Raw genomic sequence first — 20,168 nt, 5'->3', positions numbered from 1 at the left:
AGCCCTGGCGTTTGAGACCAGCCTGGGCAATATAGCAATAGCCTGTCTCTATTCAAATTTTTGAAAAAATGGTTAGCATGGTAAATTTTATTATGTGTGTTTTACTGCAATTTTAAAAATAAATGTTTTAAAAGAAGAGAAAAGAAAAAGAAGAGCAGGAGATAGTGCACCTTCCTCTCTGTACTCCACAGTGTAACCAGAAATAGTGCAGTTTCCTGTGCTGGAGGGGGGCAGCCAGCGGAGAATCACGGAGGTGCAGCTTCTCTCCTGGGCAATGGGGCGGTTAGGGGCTGCTGGAACACCTATGGAGACAGAAATCAGGATCAGGTGCTATTTCTGCAGAACTTGGCATTTTACACCAAGGTATAAGTCATCTAGGAAACATTACCTAACCGATGTCACAATTTTTTCCTGTGACCTTCTCCACCAAGTGGCATACCTTTCTCCAGGCCCAAGGCAGATGTGGGAGACACACCATGCTGTCTGAAGTTCTTCCTTGGGCTAAATACTGCACCCTGAAGATAAAGCTTGGCCAGGGAACTAACATGTTGATGGTAGGTTTATGGTAGGCCACAGACAGCTCTTAGCAAAGATTCGTTCTCGTCTCATTTGCCAGAACTTTATTTTTGAATTTTTACAATGGACATTTTCTCCCCCAGGTCGCAGGGAGCCCTTATAATGTTCACTTAAAACGTAGTGCCAGGTGTGCTGGCTGACGCCTATAATCCTAGCACTTTGGGATGCCAAGGCAGGAGGATCACTTGAGCCCAGGAGTTCGAGGCTCCATCACTACAAAAAGTTTAAAAAATGAGCTGGGCATGGTGGCACATGCCTATAGTCCTAGCTAGTTGGAAGGCTGAGGTGGGAGGATAGCTTGAGCCTGGGAGGTTGAGGCTGCAGTGAGTGGTGTCATGCTACTGCACTCCAGCCTGAGCGACAGAGCAAGACCCTGTCTCAAGAAAAAATAAAGTTTGAGTAACACAAATTGATAGAGACAGAAAGTAGAGCAGTGGTGGCCAAGAAGCACTGGGGAGGAGGGAATGGGGAGTCATTGTTCAACAGGTACAGATGCAGTTTCAGAAAGATGGGAAGATGAAAAAGTTCTGTGGATGGATGGTGGTGATGGTAACCCAAAAATGTGGATGTACTTAATGCCACTGAACTGTACACTTATTTATTTATTTTTAAGCTGTACATTTAAGATGGTTCAGATGGGATGGGCACAGTGGCTCATGCCTGCAATCCCAGCACTTTGGGAGGCCAAGACGGGAGGATTGCGTTAGCCTTGGAGTTTGAGACCAGCCTGGGCAACATAGCGAGACCCTGTCTCTATTTGAATTTTTTAAAAAATGGTTAAGATGGTAAATTTTATTGTGTGTTTTACTGAAATTTAAAAAATAAATGTTTTAAAAAGTATTGTAGAAAACACAGCAAAATCCCATCTCTACAAAAAATGCAAAAAAAATTAGCGAGGCATGGTGGTGCATGTCCAGCTAATCGGGAGGCTGAGGTGGTTGGAGTGCTTGAGCCTGGGAGGTCAAGGCTGCCATGAACAGAGATCATGCCTGGGCAGCAGAGCAAGAACCTGTCTAAAAATATATATATATTTCAAAAGGTTTGACTAACAAAGAGGCTGTACCTTGCACTTTGACTGTTGCAGACGTTGATGTGGTCCCGTGGTCATTTGTTGCTATGCAGGTATAAATCCCACTGTCTTGGGGCATCAGATTACAGATCTTCAGGGTGATTTCTCCAGAATCACTAGGGACACCAAAAGGATGCTCTTCAGACTCCAGTAATGAGACACTTGACTGCTGGGTAAAATCCCATAGGGTTGGCCCATGGTGTGCTGAGCTGAGAGTCCTCAGGCCCGAGGTCAGTCCCTGGTCTGTGAGCTACCTACCACCCTGTTTCTCTACATCCCCAGTTCCTTATATGGAAAAAAATTTTCTGGCCATGCCCATCTCTCAAGTTTGTTGTACATGAGGGATAAAATAAGGAATAAAATGACATAAGAATTAGAGCATTGTTTGAAATATATAAAGTTGTATGCAAGTTCTGGCTCATAGTATTATTAGTATTATTACCACTAGCAACTTTGTCCTAGAATATTTTCAGTTTCACAGATCGATAATGAATGATGGAAAAAAAAAAAGGAAAGACTCAAGAATAAAAATATTTTAAGTATTTCAAATTCTAGATGTGGGATCCTCAAAATAATTAAGTGAATTTCTAAGAAAGAGTAAATTCCATCACCTAAATGATAACTTCCCCATTCACCCCAATACAAGGTCCAGGAATATCCCCAGGGGAGAACTGCTCTGAAATACAGAAGTCACAGTCAGCTCTGCCCCTTCCCTAGGGTTATGATATCCCCTGGCGCTTTTCATGATCCTCACCAACCACTGCGTCTCACACTAGGCTTCTTGGACCCACTGATATTTTATGACCTGGCCTCTTTATGGTCTCTGCTGGGAATACCAAGGAATGATGGTCTTCTTCTTTTTCCCATACACACAAATTAAGTCAATGAATGAAAGTTTCTTGATTCTAGGTGCTTCTTCCACTAATGTTTCTCAAGCATCTAGGGCTTGCTACCACTTGTCCACTGTAAGCAACAGTACACAGTCCAATTCATAGTTAGTAACAATAAATGCTGACACAATGATTGGGAGGCAGTCAGCTAAGTTTTGTTAAATGGACTCTGTGTGTAGAAGCATCCTTGCGGCTTGATTTTCTATTGCACATTTTAGAATTAGTCGTTTCTTTTTCTAATAACACTGTTCTTAGGTGAGGAATTAAACATCTCACTGTTTCACAGCAACCTGAAAGGCACAAAAAATGTCAGGATGTCCAGATGTGAGGATTACATTTTTACTACAGGTCTGGAGCCTTCGCCACTTAAATCAGAAGTCTAAATCTTCTGACTTAGAGATTCACTTGGGGATCTGTAGGGAAAGATCATCTACCAGGGTGAATGTAAGGCAGTGACTGTAAAAACTCTTCATAAGTATGGTGCATGCTTGACTTGAGATATAAAGGTTTATGTTTTTCCCTATTTGTTTAATGTGGGTCTGGAGCACAGTCTTTACAAACCATTCTGTTGATCCCAGGTATGTCTACGTGGTGCTGAGCACCGTGGGAAATGTGTGCTGGTGCTGCTGCAGGTGTCCATCAGGCTGCAGCGTGAGTGGCAGAGGCTCTGACTAACACTTGAGTCTCCTCAGTCTCTCTCTAATCAAGTCCAAGTGTTTGCCCAAGAACAGGCTCCAGGGCAGCTATTCTCTTGCAGAGCCCAGTCACCAGAGCAGAAGTTGCACCCCAGATTCAGCCTCTCAGTGCTGTGTCAAGCAAGGGGCTGCTGTTGCTGATGTTAGGGCAATCGGCTTACCAAGAGGAGACCGTGTATGTGGCTGAGCTGTTATCAGTGTCAAGGATGTTCTGGTCTGGACCCTTCCAAGTGATGGTGGGCTTTGGCCGCCCACAGACTTTGCACTGCAGTATCACTGTGTCCCCAAGCAAGCAGGTCACATCCACCAAGGGCACAAGGAATTCTGGGGCCACTGTGATCAAATCAACATACATTAACATCATTCAGAGCAAATTTAGAATAAAATGGCCATTTTGTTTTAACACACCTCTCTCATTTCCCACCCATGTCATGTAATGATTCAAATAACCTTCAGTATAACACTGGTGAGTCATCTGGGTCTCTTTAAAAAGTGTTTAAAAGAGATAACTGTTTATTATAGAAAAAAATAGGAAATATAAACAGAAAGAAAGAAAAGCTCCATAATGTCATAATCCAGAGATAATTACTGTAGGCATTCTGGTATATACCCTTTTGGGCTTTATATAAACAGACTTCTTATAAAACTTGGATCCCATTATACATATCGCAAGCTTTAGTCTTTTTCATCTAATAATTTATCATAAACCTCTTTCCTTGTCCATTGATACAGAACTATATCACCATTGCTTACAGCCAGTGCTTTAGTGCTGGATTAACTATAATTTATTTAACCAATCCCCATGTTTCCAATTCTAATGCTTTTTAACTCACCTTCTTGGATGAAATTTGGATTTAAGATCTGAAAAACAAAAAGACACAGAAAATTGCTTGAATCCTAAACTACTAAAAGAGAACAAGGGACTTCACCGTATTGAGTAAAAAGAAAGTACAATTTAGGGAGATGAGGCCTGGAGCCCAACTTCCCACTGTGTTGTGACTGTATTACTGTCACATTAGTAAAACCTCTCTTTAGCAACAATTGGCACTTGGTTTACTCTGTCTAATTCAGTTGTTCACATTCCTGCCTGGCAGCGTGCGGCCCCAGGCAGGTTTATTGTAACTTGGAGCTCTGCTAGCAGAGGTCTTTCTGTCCTCCCTCTTCTCAGTTGCTTTTCTTCCCTTCACAGGCAGAAAACCCACTCTCTTGGTCATTATGCACACAAGCAGTGTGGTGGCACTGATTCTTCCTAGCATCATAAACTCAAAAATAGAGGACCTGAGACCTATCAAACTGGAAGGGTCATTGAAATTCACTAATACAGTGGATTCCTTCCAAATGTCCTCCCTTTACCCTTTACTCATCCCCACGCAGGGGAAACGACTCTTCAAGCAGCTAAACAACAGAGCTTCTCTGGATGAAGGGGAATAAGAGAAGTCGTCTGTCTCTTCTTTCTCAAGCATGATCTCCTATAGCCCAGGCCTGCATGGGGCAACTTGAAGCCACTGACCCAACCATTCCAACCCTTTCCACTTCATAGGTGAGAAAATGAATACTAAGTGACTAAGCCGACTAACTCTGGTCACAAGGCTGGTTCAAGGGAGGAACTGATAGGGCTCTTGGTATATACCATGCTGCCTGCCTCAGGACACCCTGGAGATTTCACAGTAGGGAAAACATTTTAGCCAACTAGCCATTCTGGAAAGCTACATCTTCTTGAGGAGATGGTCACTTTTCCCCCCATCTTTTGTATTACCACTAATCATCCATGTCCAGATTGTACAGCCTGGCATTGTTTTAAAAAAGCACGGACTTTGGAGATAGGCTGAGGTCATCTGTTTTGTTTAATGTGATTGTATGTTAATTACGTAATAACTGATGTTCCACTATAATATGGGGATAAATAATACCTAGTGTAAAGTGTTATCACAAAGATTAAATAAAATCTTGTACATCAAGTGCTTAGCACAATGCCCGGCAAATAACAGGTACTCAATACCTATTTAAATAAAGATGATCTCATTTTAATCATCTTCCTTCTGCTAAGCAGACTGTTATTAAAGTGGCTTACCTTTAATAGCTTATTTGGCAAAATTCTTCTTTCCTTTATCATGAAGCCAGAAAACTCACAAGCCTTACAAAATAGCCCAACTGGGGCCTCTGCACTTATTTCCCTGTATGTATGCATATCTTTGTGAACATGCATGGTTTCTGTGTGTTCTTCCCTTATAGAGGAATCCATATAAACCCTTTGGAAGAAAGACATTATTTCCTTCTTTGCGTTCCCCTTTGCAAATCAAGTGCCTGCTTATACCACCCAGGTTTTCTAAAAAGTGGGCTGCAGAAAACCCTTGTGAAGCCAAGTTCTGGGCTGAGTGCCCCAACTCTGGCCATTGCAATGCCCTCTGCTAGTCTCAAAAGACCACTTACACCTCTGCTTAGCCTATCTTTAAATCAGTGGTTCTCAACGCCTGACCTGGGCAGCCTTAAAAACACGAGAGGCTAATGCCTGGGCCTCATGCCTAGAGATTCTGTTTTAATTGGTGTGAGGTGGGGCCTGGGCATTGGGATTTTTTTTAACTCTCTAAAGCGAATCAACATGCAGCCTTGTTTAATGAACCTGATGAAAGTCCCCCTCTATTCCAGGGAACTGATCTTGGATAAACCAACTTCCTGCCCCGGAGGCTTTTCTGGGGTGGGATGGGGGAGTGGATGAGAACATCTGGTAGAACCTACTGCATTTCCCACACCTAAAAGAGTTCTCTGTGTGAAAAGGTTTCGAGGCATGGCATGGGGAAGGATGTAAAGGGTTGCTCCACTCAAACTATTAAATCAACCACGAGCAGCACTGCATCACCTGTAGGGGGGCACTAAAGAGGCCAAACATTTCTCTTCCTGGTTTGGATAAGGCAGGGAGAATGGCATCCCAGTCAGTCATTTGACAGTCAAAGAAAAGAAGGCTAAGAATATTTTCTAAATGTTAACAGTGGTTATCTCAGGGTGGTAGGTTTAAGGGTGGCTTTGTCCCCATTCAAAAAACATTAACTGACCTTGTCATACTCTCTAAGTACAGTTTTGTGGGTAGAGAAATACTAAGACATAGGCTCTACCCTTGGGATTTATAAAGCATCTTGATTTGGGGTGACTGTTGTTTCCTTTCTTTTCTTATGTGGGCTTCCCAAATATTCTGCAATCAGCATGTTTCGCTTTCTTTATTTAATTTATTTATTTATTTTGAGACGGAGTTTCACTCTTCTTGCCCGGGCTGGAGTACAATGGTGTGATCTCAGCTCACCGCAAATTCCGCCTCCCCGGTTCAAGTGATTCCCCTGCCTCAGCCTCCCGAGTAGCTGGGATTACAGGCATGCGCCACCATGCCCAGCTAATTCTGTATTTTTAGTAGAGACGGGGTCTCGCCACGTTGGTCAGGCTGGTCTTGAACTCCTGACCTCAGGTGATCCGCCTGCCTCGGCCTCCCAAAGTGCTGAGATTACAGGCATGAACCACCACGCCCGGACTCACTTTCTTAATAATTATTTTTGAAGGAAAAATACAGCACGGTCGAACCTATTAGACTATAAGCTCTTCAAAGACAGGAAGTATTTGTCACTCACCTTTGTACCTCAGGGCCCTAGCCCAAGGGTCTGTCACATAAAGGGTATTTAATAAATGTTGGTGAATACATATTTGACCTTTGACTTCATTTCAGACCTTCCAAGAACTTATGAACCAGTAATTAAGTCTTATTCGCAATCTTTCTTTCCAGTGTCTCTGCTAAGGACTACACTCAAATTAGGAATATTTGCTTTTGTTTGGGCATGGTGGCTCACACCTGTAATCCCAGCACTTTGGGAGGCCCAGGCGGGCGGATTACTTGAAGTTCGCATAAGCTACTCACAAACTCCTTCATGTGCTCCTCCAAAACCCTGGAGGAAGTGCAGAGCAAATGTTATGTATCCCCATTTCCTAGGTGAGATAGGGAAGTGAAGTGTTAAGATCACAGTGACAGAGGACTGGCTCCGAGAGCTCTTGAATTTTATTCCAGTGCTCGTTCCATCATAGCATTCAGCAAAGTGGGAGGGTCTTAGGAAAAGCATTGTGAAACTTTGTCATTGACATCAAAGGCCTACCTGCTTATCTTTGCTCTCCACCTCTCTATCTATCCTATCTCTACTCAGTCCTTTAATTTAAAATCCTCCAGCAAGGACCAAGAGCCTGGGCAAGGTCCACACTAATGTTTTTTTTCTAACTTTGACTCTGGACTACGGTCATAGAAGATTCCTCCCTCATTTTTTCTCTTTCTTCTTTGAAGCAAATCAGAGTACGAACTGGAGGAGAACACCCTTCTCACACAGTAGACTAATTACCGATATATTTGTCTGTGGCTCCCTATGGACTGCAGGGCCCATGAGGACAAGGACCATATTGTTTTATTTATTATTACTTTTTATTTATATTCTTAAATTTTTTATTTTCTCTTTTTTTGAATTCTAATGGGCCATATTGTTCGCTAGTATTGCCTCCAAGCTTAGCATGATACCTGGCACATATGTGCTCTGTTGATATTTGTCAAATCAATGAAAAGCTTAAGTGGTGGGATCCTAATTTTGGGGAGGAGAGCTGAGAAAATGTCCTGCCATGAACTTGCTCAGGAATCTAATCAGTCAGTCAATGTCTGAGATGTAGCCAATAGTGATCTTCCTCCTCTGCACTCTTCTAGGGGCTGTAGGTACCTCTAAGTCTCTGACCATGAACTGCTAAGTACCATAACGTCTTACTGAACTGTATTTGCCCTACCAGACTTGTGAACCTTTTGAAGGTAGTAACCCTTTCCCGTGTTTTATGCACCATCAGTCATAAATTTTTTTTGCTATGAACCATCAGTCATATTTTTTTTTGCTATGAGTCTTGCACATAGCAGAAAAATCAAATATTTGTTGAATGAAATTAACTGAAGTCACCCAATTAGTAGACTAGAAATTAGGCTTCCTGACCACCTTGTCTAGTGGTCATTGCTGGTGTGTGCAGGATCCTGAGGGCTTTATATAAGCTGCACATTTTTCTTGAAATATAATGTTTTCCTTCCTTAGAAACAGGTTGGAGTCAATGTAAAATGATAGATGGGAAGGAGGAGAGAGCTGGAATCCAAAATAGTGGTTGTGGGCTGGGTATGGTTGCTCACGCCTGTAATCCCAGTACTTTGGGAGGCTGAGGCAGGAGGATCACTTGAGCTTAGTTCAAGACCAGCCTGGGCAACATAATGAGACCTCATCTTTACTAAAAAATAAAAACAAATGAGCTAGGTGTGGTGGTGCACAGCTACTCGGGAAGCTGAGGTGGGAGGATTGCCTGAGTCCAGGAAGTTGAGGCTGTGGCAAGCCAAGAAAGTGCCACTGTACTGGGCAACTGTTGCCTGGGCAACAGAGTGAGACCCTGTTTCAAAAAAATAAAAAAAAGAAAACATAGACGAAATAGTGGTCGTGGAGGAAAGATGACATTGTTCACATAAAATGCACATGTTCTCTCTCTGTGAAACAGCACAAGAGAATGCTGGGCCAAGTCCGGGAGGACAGGGCTGGTGTAGACACCGTGGGAAAGAACTACAGGTTCCTAAAGCTGGTTTTATTTGACCAGCAGAGGGCAGCAGGTGGCAGCGCTTCCTCCCAGGCGAGAACAAGAACCACCACAATGTGATCCATCAGCAACTTAGTTTCCTTCTGGAGAGAAATCCAATAATTTTATCGTTTTTTCTTCAAAATGGCAGGGCAGTCAGGTAAGAGGAAAGAGTTACAGGTAATATTAACCAGCACTGACTACCATAAGCTGAGCTTTGAGGAAATCTTGGCGTCTATTTTCCTTGTCAGCCAATGTCTGACTGACTCTAAGACTTAAGAGTGAGGGTGAAATTCTGTCTAGAAAATGAGTTGTTAACTGACTCCAGAAGAAAAAGACCTCCACTCCCATTTTTCCCAAATTCCTTATCACAGTCACAAAACAGAGCTCAAAACTACGTATTGAGAACACTGAAGGAATAAAAACGCTCAAATAAACATAAACCAAATACCCTAAACCCAACTGACAGCTGCCCAGAATATATTTCTATATTTTTCCTTTTTCTATTCCTTTTACACTTGTTTCATATGAACCTGTATTCAGAGTAGGCAGGAAAGGAATTTTAGATGATGAGATCTAGCAATAAAATAAAGATATAAGAAAAACAATTTTTAAGAATTTAGGTATAATAGTAGGGTTTGAAGGTTTAACCCTTCGTGTTTTCAATCTGGCCAAACTGGACTCGAATTTCTAAAGTTTTAGAAAATATTCCTACCTCTGCTCTTTTTTTTTTTTTTTTTTGACAGGGTCTCACGCTGTTGCTCATGCTGGAGTGCAGTGGCATGATCACCACTCACTGCAGCTGCAAGTTCCTAGGCTCATGTGATCCTCCTGCCCCAGACTCCCTGAGGAGCTGCGACTACAGGTGAACACAGCCACATCCAACTAATTTTTTCTATTCTTTATAGAGATGGGGTCTCGCCATGTTGCCCAGCTGGTCTTGAACTCTGGGCCTCAAGTAATCCTCCCACCTGTGCCCGCCCAATGTGCTGGGATTACAGGTATGAGCCACCACACACAGCCTCCTCTGCTCATTTCTAAATGAGCATAAGACAAGCTGTAATTTTAAAAAATGTAAATGCAACATAATCCCAAGCAGCGATAGACTTGTCTCTTTCAACTAGTTCCTTACTCCCAAGTATTTTCGTTATCATTTAGTTCTAAGTGTTTTTCTTCAACTATGATTTTTTTCTTTTACCCAGTTGTAATGAGTATGTTTTTACATTTCCAAAGATGTGAGATTTTTAAAAAGGATATTTTTGTTGATGATTTCTAACTTAATTGCATTGTGCTTGGAGGACTTGGTCTGTATGATACTGATTCCTTGTTTTTTGTTGAGGTTTGCTTTGTAAGTAGCACACATGGTCAATTTTTGTAAAAAAATTCCATATGGTTTTCCAAAAAATGTATAATCATTAATTTGGGGGTACAGGTCTCTATATGTGTCCATGTGTCAAGTACATTGATTGTTTTATGGATATTTCTAGTCCAAATATCCCCCTTTACCCCTCAATATTTTGGTTAGAGAACATTTAGTGTGCTGTCAAAAATAAAAAGGATGAAAATATGGCTTTTAACAGAATAATGAAAGCATCTATCACCCATCTCACAAGATAGTTGGTTGCAAAGGACCAAAATGGGGGTGCGTTGCTGTGTATGCACTGGTCTCCAGCTGCTCCTGGCAGCCTAGGAGTCAGTTAGGAAGGGACTGGAGGTGGGGGGCTGAGGAGGATGCAGTGGTGGAGTTACAGCTTCTTCTTTATAAATCACATTTCCAACCTAGCCATGACCTTGACTTTGGATAATGCCTTTATGTATGAGTGTTTTGGAGTCTTATCCCTTAATGATTTGGCCCTGATTATGCCCTGATTATGCCCCAATCCCCTAAACTTCCCAGAGTCTTCGGAGCTATGTAACAGATTAACATTTGTTCTGAGGACCCAGTGCCATGGCTCATGCCTATAATCCCAGCACTTTGGGAGGCTGAGGCACGAGGATCACTGGAGGCCAGGAATTCAAGACCAGCCTGAACAACATCGGGAGAACCCACTTCTAAAAAAATTTAAAAATTAGCTGGCCATGGTGGCACGTGCCTGTAGTCCCAGATATTCAGGAGGCTGAGGGTGGGAGGGTCACTTGAGCCTGGGAGGTTAGTGCTGCAGTGAGCCGAGATCATGCCACTGCACTCTAGCCTGGATGACAGAGAAAGACCCTGTCTCAAAAAAAAAAAAAAAAAAAAAAAAAAAAAAAAAATCTCACCAGTGTTTGCATAGATGCTGGTTACCTTCCTAAAGCACAGGACGAATCATATGGACTGCTTAAAACCTACTGCTGTTCCTTGGAGTCCATGGATCAAGTCCTGGCTTCCTAGCAGGTCCTTCCATGCCTTTGTTGTCTGTCTGGTCTCAACCCATCTGCCAGGCTTTATCTCCTACAGCTCTTCCTACATAACTAACCCCAGGTACTCAGACCATATACCTGCTCAGCATGTGCCAGGCACCTCCCACCTCAGGGCTTTTGTTCATGCTCTCTCCTCACCCTCTGCCTTCTCTAAGACTGCCCACATCCTATTAGTTCATCCAACCCACACACTGCTGCCCAGTGAATCAATGACCACACTCATAGGCTCCCTGGGAGACAGGCTACCTAAGAATACACAGTCCTGGGAAAGTCACTTAACCTCACTGTGCTCCAGTTTTCTCATCTATAAAGTGGGAATAACGCGAATAGTACCTATGTGATGATGTTGTTGGGAGCTCAGCACAGAGCCAGTTACACAGGAAAGACTGCTAAGTAGTAGCTACTATTATTGTGAGCCCAGTGCCTGAGTGGGTGCATAAATATCCACAGAATGAATAAATGGCTCCAGGCAGGATTAATCAGTCCCTCACCATGACTGTTAGAGCAGGTTTTAAAGTTTGCTGTGTAACATGGGCATTTATTTATACCTGCCTCCTTCTTATGCTTCTTAAGCCTTAAGCATGGGAACCAATCTTACATTGTTCGTTAGTCCTCCATAATAATCACTGCAATGCCTTGTGTTAATCAAATTGTGTGAAATTGAACTGACTAGGAACTCACGCTGAGTGAACTTTGACAGCATGGGGGTGGGGTTGGGGGGTGATGGTCTTTGCTTCTTCAATAGCAGGCTCTTAGAGGAACTTCTGGGTCAATGGTACCTTGTAATCTCATTAGTGTACAACGTAAACGAAACGGGTTAGGCCCCCAGTCTAGGGTGAGGGTGCGATGGAACATGCATGACAGGGCGTGCTGAGTGACTATGTTGACCTGAGAAACCAGTTCAGACATTTCCAACTCATGTAATTGGACTTCCTTTCTTGGTTGCTCTGGCTGGGCTCTTGAGTCATTGAGAAAGGGCGTGGGTGAGGCCAAGTAATTATCCCAATAGTCAAGAGATTTGAAAAGTTGTTGAAGAAATTCTCCTCCTAAAACAGATGTGCAGCAAAAGAGGGCCTGAGCCTGACCCTTGTTAAGAAAGTACTTGAGCCATACGAGTAGACTTCCTCTACAGCACATGCTAAGTTTGGTCTCTCAAAGCACCACCATCAAGACTTGCTCTTTTTATTAGCTGTATGACCTTGACCTCCCTGAACATGTTTCCCCCAGGAGGGTGAGAAACTCTACCCTACTTACTTCACAGGGCAATTGCAAGGAACAAAAAGCATAATAGATGTGAATCTGCTGTGGACGATCTTCTTAAAATTCTCCCAGGAGAGGGAAGCAGCCACTAAGCTCAGCTCCCTTCTCTTGGTGGCGGAATATAAATCGGTCTGCATGGAGAGTCAGAACAAAGCCAGGCAGGAAGTCTTCAAGCCACACCCTTCAGATATATTACAAAGAAAATATTTTGCAAAAATAAAACGACAGGAATGTGATGCTTCACTTTCTTTTCATCCAAAGGGTTCTTTTCATGAAAAAATTCTTTTTATAAAATGCGGAACCAGGCATCAGTGGACACACACTGGGGATGCCAGGAGGTTGGTCACCTGGCTGGGGGTGTAAAAGTTTCCTTCAATCCGTCTGGCCGGGTTATTTTGAAGCTCTAGGATAAGGAGGCCAGAGTAGCTGATGTGGTAGTTGGCGGGGAGTGGGGTGCGGGGAGTAGGCTGGCTCTTCAGATCTGAGGACATGAAAGGCGGGCCAGGGAACTGTAGGTTTGAGGAAGGAAAAAAGTACCAGCTCTGGCCGCTCAAACTTCCCAGAGCCAGGAGTGGACACTCCAGTTGAGTCTCAGAAGGAAATCTGCCCAGGCCATTCCCGCCACACCCCCTGAAAAGTGAATTGCTGGCCAAAGCACAGAATCTTCCACGTCCTCTTCGGTCGGGATCTCAATGTTTTCAAAGTCAGAAGTGCTGGAGAGCAAAGTCCTTTGTTAGCACACCTTAGACGTGCATGGTGCTCAAAGGGTTACACATCACTGTATAAACACCTGTACACTTGGAGCTGTGCAACTTTCCAGAGGAACTTGGGGCTCAGAAAGGCTAACTGGCCAGCAGTCTCATAGCTGGCGGTATCCAAACTAGAATCCAGGTTTTTGACTCCTGTTCCAGTTTTCCATGTGATACTGCCTTTGTGGTTTTTGTTTAAGTTACACTTCAGCCTCGGAAAGCCAAGATGGGCAGAAATGATATTCCTTTTTATTGAGCTGGAAAATGGAATAACACACTTATACACAAAAATTGGCACTAGGAGTTAGGTCTTCTCGTCTGCCAGGATCTGTGTTTTAGGTTAAAATCAACCTGGAGATGGGGTACCAAGTGGCCGCAGGATGGTGTAGGTGGGGGAATAGCAAGCAGAAAAACCAGAAGCTGCCTCAGAAACTAGAGCACCTTCCAGTTTTCAAACAGAAAAGGACAAGTTCCTGTGGCTCTGTTAAAGGTGAAGGGGCTGCAGGGATGGAGAGGAATAGAGAGTTGTTTACTGGGTCCACTAAAGAATTTCTGTTTGCGATGATGAAAACGTTCTGGAAATGGATAGTGGTGATGGTGGTATAACATTGTGAAGGGACTTAATGCCATTGAACCACACACTCAAAAATGGTTAAAATGGTAAATTTTTGTTATGTATATTTTACTACAAAACATAAAAATAAATAAATGAAGAGGTTAACTAAATGTTTCCCAGGTTCTGTTTATTCTGAAAGTGTGATTCTTACTCCAATGGGGAATTTCCTCCAAAATCAGCTTCACCTTCCCAAGTGCTTTCTCTCTCTAATCTTTCAGAGCCCTCTCCCAGAAGATCCCAACACTGTTTTTAACTCCCCAAGCTAAATATCTGGTGGCTGGTATATGACTGAGGATAACGTCTGCACTTAGTCTGTGTTGTGGATGAGGCCAGTGGCATGTTGAATGGCTGGGGCAGAGGCAGGGTCTTTTTGGAATGATGACAACCTCTCACTCTGATGAACTGACTTTCTCTGCTACAAGAGGTATTGGGTTTTGTTTTGTTTTAGTTAAAATGCATGTAATTACTTGAGCTTGGTGTAAAAACTGGGCTGAGAATCCTTATCCTTGAAGGCCCAAGTCAGGGAGGCTAGTTCAGGACTTTCAACCCCATCCTGTGATGTAGGCAGGTGGCAATGCTGGGGCTAGGGGGCAGGTACAAAAACAGAAGTGAGCATTGACACAGTTCTCAGACAACTTTTCAAAGGTGGAAACCTGCCTCACCTGGGTCCTAAGAAAAACCTAGTATAGGCCAGATGCTGACCCTGAACACGTGAGCCTGGGGTGTCAGTGCAGATACCGGGGTAGAGACAAGACTGAAAAAGGTGGTGGCTGGGCATGTGGTTCTCAGCCCTGCAAAAGGCACAAGGCAGTCTAACCTTACTGGAAAAAATGAATTACTATTAACCTGTTCCTAAGGTACCCTTGTGTTTGGTTTTCAGCTTGGTTTGACTCTTCTTCCATGTAGAAACATCTCTTTCATGTATGATGCCCCCCTTTCACCCCCACCCCAAAGTTTAATCAGTACAAGGTAAAGAAGTAAGCTGAACTATGGATGATACTCGTCATCTTTAGAACAGTTCTCCATGAGGTATGGTCACAGATCAGCAGGAGACTTGGCTGCAGGAGACTTGGCCACGAGGGGATGGCATAGACCTAGAGCCAATCTTGCAGTGGCATTGGTGTGGCATGTACTGCTGGGAGTAGGAGTTGTACTTGAAAACATTCACAAGCAGGGGAAGGAAAAGGATGTAAACATTAGAGCAGAATTACCTCCCTTTACCTAATTGGGTATTCTTGGAAAGCTTTGTAAATCTGACTCCTAGGATTCAAGGTGCTTTATTTTCTTCTTAATTAACCTTCAAGGATGCGCCTGTATATCTCCCCAAAACACCATGGTGGGACAAATGCCAGCCTGAAGGTAGCAAGCAGCCAGTGTGTAAGTAAAGACCCCAGGAAACTGCCCTTAAAGGAACCATTTGGTCCACTTATTGAGAAAAAGTAAAGAATGTTTTGGTGACATCATTCCCATGCAGGCAGGAGATGAGAGCCTATGCACAGCTAGGGCTGGGATCAACAGGCTGGCCTCAGGTTAAAGGGAGTCAGTCAGGGCAGGATTTAACATCTGGAGATCTAGCACGGAGTGAACACACAGGGTGCATGGTCCCATTATGTCAGCTGGGGTTCCAGGAACAGAGACACCCTCAGCACAGGATTCAGCTCACTAAGAGTAACAGACACATTCCCAGAGAGACAACGCCCATTGCAGCATCAAGTTCAGAAGACAAGGGTGAGGTTGGGGGCCAGGCTGGGTCTGGGAATGATGCCCCAAATGACCACTTGAATAGTGAGAGGCCTTCAAGAGGTGGCCTGCTCACCTATATTTCAATTTGGATCTTTAAGGTATAGCCTCTCTCTTCAGTATGCACTCCTCATCATTTTCTTCTTCTGCAGTGTACATTGCAATAAGGTTCTACTTACACATGCCTTGAGAAAATTCTCAACTCATGTTGATCAGTTTAACTTTCTATATCTTATTTATTTGCATCTGAAAATACCAAACTAGCAGTGCCAAGTTGCCTGCTTTCCCTCTGGACTTGCTCATGTGCTCAAAGTTAATTTGAAGCTGGCAACACATTCAGAGAATGACTGAAGTTTAGGCCAGGTGCATTGGCTCACACCTGTAATCCCAGCACTTTGGGAGGCCAAGGCAGGCAGATCACTTGAGGTCAGGAGTTCAATACAAGCCTCGGCCATGTGGTGAAGCCCTGTCTCTACCAAAAATACAAAAATTAGCCAGGCATGGTGGTGTGCACCTGTGGTCCCAGCTACTCAGGAGGCTGAGGCGGGAGGATCCCTTGAGCCAGGGAAGCAGAGGTTGCAGTAAGCCGAGGTCATACCACTGCACTCCAGCCTGTGTGACAGAGACTCCACGTCAAAAAAAAAAAAAAAAAAAAAAGACAATCACTGAAATTTAAAAGGATGTATATGTAATATATAAGGGCTACATCCACACATACTGGGGATATTGCTGCTTCCAACAACATGCCTCCTTGAGGTTCCAGCTACTTGAAAGTTTGTGCCTAAAGGAAACTTTGTGTCTCAACTACTGTATTTGAAAACTTTTCGGACATGCATCAACACAATTTTTGGTTTTCCTCTGTTCAGCACGAATATTCTAATGTCTTTGCTCATGCACTCCACAGCACCTCCTGAGGACCCATCTCACTCAGCCCATGCAAAGGACTAAAAGCCTTAGATGAATAAGAACCTTTAAAATGTGTTCAATTAGCAAAGCAGAGTTAAGATGTGTATATGCACACACATGTTTTTTATCTAAGTGTAGAATGGGGCATTCGATGACCCCAGTTAATTTTCTTAATGTGTGCTGCTCCCCTGGCCCCACATCCCTCTGTGCCCATTTCTTCCTACAGAGTGGGAACATCACTCTTCTCCCCTAGTCCACAAGAACTGGACAAGGTCCTAAATTGTTTCCTGGAACACAGGTACCTGGCTTTTCCCCTGCCTCTGTCTGGCCTTCCTCCACTTGCAGCTGACATCTATAATACATGCTGGCAATACTTAGGTCTGGGGATACAGGTGCCACCCAGTATCTACAAGCTGACAGGTGTGAACTCCAGGAGAGCTGGTGCCTATCCTGTGAAATGCAAGGAAAACAGAGCCTGAAATTTCCCCTGGCTTCCTTGTTCTCTAAGATACATTTAGGCTACAAATGCCACCTCCACTTTCTCCCACAGTGGGGTACGTATTGAGCCACACCTACCAGATTTAGCTCTGTGGTAATACCCACATCTACAGGGGACTACTCTATCCTGGCAGAACTCCCATTGTCAGCCGATTGCCTCGGGCCTGATTCAACTCAGTTGGCTCCTTCTGCAGCTGACTTACCGGCTCTTAGGCCTCATGATCTCTCTTGGGTTTTGTGGTGGCTGAAACAACATGGTGCTGGACTTCTCTGGGATTAGGTCAAATTAGAATAAGAATAAAAGTCTATCTAATTAAGTGAAATGTTTGGGATGATATAAATTTCTTTTTAATGTTGTCTATTTTGTACTTAGAAGAAATCTCTAAACTTGTACCCATTACTGGAGATGGATGCACAGATCTGGAGAAAAACATTCTCTGAATGAAAAAATGGCAAGGAAAGTCAGCTCCATGTTTGCCCTCATTGTCTAGGGTTTGTAAATTTATCATGGTTGTTACTCAGTGGCAAGCCACGTAAGAGCCACGTTTCTATAACCCAACAGACTGGGAGTTGGAAGTGGAATGGATGTTCTTGTTGATACAGGCGTTGGTTCCACTCCCACATCCCTGTAAGCCTGGGGTGCGAGAAATGTCCCCTGGGCAGTGTTTCCATCTCACCATCTCTGGAGAGGCCTCTGCCGTGGCTCCAGGAGACAGGCCCTCCCCAGGGCTCCTTTTCCTTCACACGGTGGGCACAGCCACTGCTCACGGGCCCAGCACTGGGCTGAAGTGTGCTCTGGAGTTGCTACAATTACACCTTATTTGCTATCAGCTCTACATAGCAACCAGGTGCCATACTTCACCCGTTATTTTTCTGGAACACTGAGCAGGGAATAAAACCCAGTAGAAGAGCAAGATGAAGAGGATAAAGGGCTAAAGAAAAAGAAGCGGAGGAGGGGAAAACAAAAGCGGGAGAAACTAAACACGAAATGAGTCCTTGTCATTTAGCTGGGACTCATCCACTCTTTACAGTGCTGTTTTCCATGAAAAAATGTGTTCTAAGTTTCAAATAATGAAATTGGATATTTTCTACATAAAGTCAAACCTGCCAAAGGAGAAAATATTTAGCAAGCATTCAAGATAACAAGTTTTTGTTTTTTAAAAAAATCTAGGTAGAGTTTTCTACCAACACTGAACTGAATTATGTTTTTGTTTGTTTCTTTTATAGCTGGGATGGGATACCCAGAGATGCCCCAACATCACAATTTATCTTTGAATGGCTGGTCATTTTAGCAAGGTCACTGTTACAGAACACATCAAAAAAGGCAATCATTGTAGGAAATAGGACAACAATAGCTGCTTCTACCTCCATGCTAGTATTAGGGTCAAGATCATCACACTCTGATTCCTCGGAACTGTTCGTCTCCTTGATTGGCAGCATGAGGAAGGGGGAAGAAAGAGAACACAGTTAGAACACAAGTAGCTTTTGCTAGAGAGAGAGGAGAACTTCAGAGAAGCATGGGCGATGGGATCTTGGGCAGAGAAAAAACCAGGTGTTTTTAAAGTGGGGGTGAGAATCACCAGGGGCAGCAGCATGCTCTTTTCAGGGAGAGGAGGCGGGGGTTGTGTACAACTGCTTATCTCATGGGAAACAGCAATGGAAGCAAAATGAAGCATGAGTGTTGTCGAATTTAAACTGTTGTCTTCTGTGAGGCTGGACTTCCCAGATGAGAGTGAAGGAGAGTATACAATTTCTTTTCCCCAAGAAATCTCTTAGACTGGGTTTTAGTTGTTCTTACTTTGCTAAGGAAGGGAAACAAAGTTCCAGGTAGATGATCACACATTATAGCATAATTAGTGCTATAATAATCAGTGTCTAGTTTCCATTGTCCATTGGTCCATTGGCAGATCTTTCCAGAGGTTCCAATTTAAAGAAAGCAGATGACATTGTTTCAAGATGGGGGTAAATAAGAGTCTGCCAAGCTTAGAATTCATGAGTTCAAAGTAGTAGATGGATTATTTAAAGAAATAATTTGGGCTTCACCAATGTGCCCCCCTACTGTGTCCATGCAAGTAAAATGGCCTGAAGTTGATGTTGTCTGAACTCTGGGGAAAAGAAATGAAACTTTACTAAGGACACAGTGGCCCTTAAATTCCAAACCTCAGCCTTCACAGGGTTGGGGGTTTGGAAGGCATCCCTAATTGCTTTACCCTGTGTGTATTCTCAAACCTAGGGTACCAAATGGCAGCTTTGATAAATTTAATATGAATCAAGCATCTCACATTTTTAAGAGAATGCTGCAGATAATTTTGCTGTAAAACATCTGCACAGTATAAAGAGAAAGGTATAAAAGAAAAAAAAGGTACTTACTTGAATTGAAGTTGCCAGGAGAAATAAAAGATAAAAAATAAATTGATCTTGCATGCAAAATCCTGCTAAACTACTTCCCCTCTGGTACCCATACTGGGAAAAAAAAAAAATAACCCATCCACCCAAATTGGCTTGTGAGAATGCTGCAGGGTGGGAGTGGATGACAGGTGGGGACGCAGCTCCGGAATACCTTACTCACTTTAACAGAGACTTTGTTGCCCAGAATATCCTTGGGTTTACGAGGCCCTGTGGCTTCATTTTTACCCGTGTTCTCCACTTCCGCCCGCTTTCTCATGCGTAGAGTATGCCATGAACATGACTTCCTGTTGTACCAAAAAATGCACCAATCAAAATGGCAGGTCAGGGACAGCGATGTGGAGGGCGGGCTCACCACCCTTGGGTGAGTCAGCAGGTGAGGTGCTCCATCAAGCCCGGGCTTCAGAGGCCCCAAACCTGCACACCAGCTCCAAGGGTGGCTGGCGGCTGACCTCGCCTCCAACTGGAAGTGAGCAAGGATGAACTCTGACCTCCCCTGGTAGATGTGCAAGGTTGACTACGGCATTTAAAGAAAATATGAATGCTAGGTTACTAAACTCTAATAAGGGAGTTTGTATACCATACCCATGATGCCTCACAGGACTGAGGAATTCCTCTTGAGAAGGGCACGGTGGATGGGTGAGGAAAGGGGGCGAAGAGTAGAATAGGAAAGTCAAGGGAAGTATATTCTAGAATGCATATGCTACTGACACTTTCCCAGGACCAGACAGAAAGACCTAAAAGGATGAC

General features: G+C 43.6%; 1 protein-coding gene across 21 annotated transcripts in view; it reads right to left on the bottom strand.

Moving 5' to 3' along the window:
- KALRN (kalirin RhoGEF kinase) overlaps positions 1 to 20,168 on the bottom strand; it is a 692,957-nt gene that overhangs the window by 28,431 nt on the left and 644,358 nt on the right. For 16 of the 21 annotated variants that reach the window (XM_006713810.4, XM_011513279.3, XM_006713814.4 and 13 more), the window contains 6 exons: positions 19,582 to 19,705; positions 18,378 to 18,437; positions 4,064 to 4,091; positions 3,392 to 3,563; positions 1,640 to 1,761; positions 171 to 302 (listed from right to left, as the gene is read on the bottom strand). In XM_006713810.4, coding sequence (XP_006713873.1) covers positions 171 to 302; positions 1,640 to 1,761; positions 3,392 to 3,563; positions 4,064 to 4,091; positions 18,378 to 18,437; positions 19,582 to 19,705 — 638 coding nt within the window. Of the gene's footprint in view, positions 1 to 170; positions 303 to 1,639; positions 1,762 to 3,391; positions 3,564 to 4,063; positions 4,092 to 13,479; positions 18,438 to 19,581; positions 19,706 to 20,168 lie in introns of those variants that run through there. The other 5 variants (XM_017007429.2, XM_047449157.1, XM_047449161.1 and 2 more) reach the window with 3 other exon arrangements.

Source organism: Homo sapiens, chromosome 3 (genome assembly GCF_000001405.40).
Source record: "Homo sapiens chromosome 3, GRCh38.p14 Primary Assembly".
NCBI classification, from domain to species: domain Eukaryota; kingdom Metazoa; phylum Chordata; class Mammalia; order Primates; family Hominidae; genus Homo; species Homo sapiens.
The sequence above is the reverse complement of the archived record's forward strand: the minus strand, read 5'-3'. Positions and strand labels throughout refer to the sequence as shown.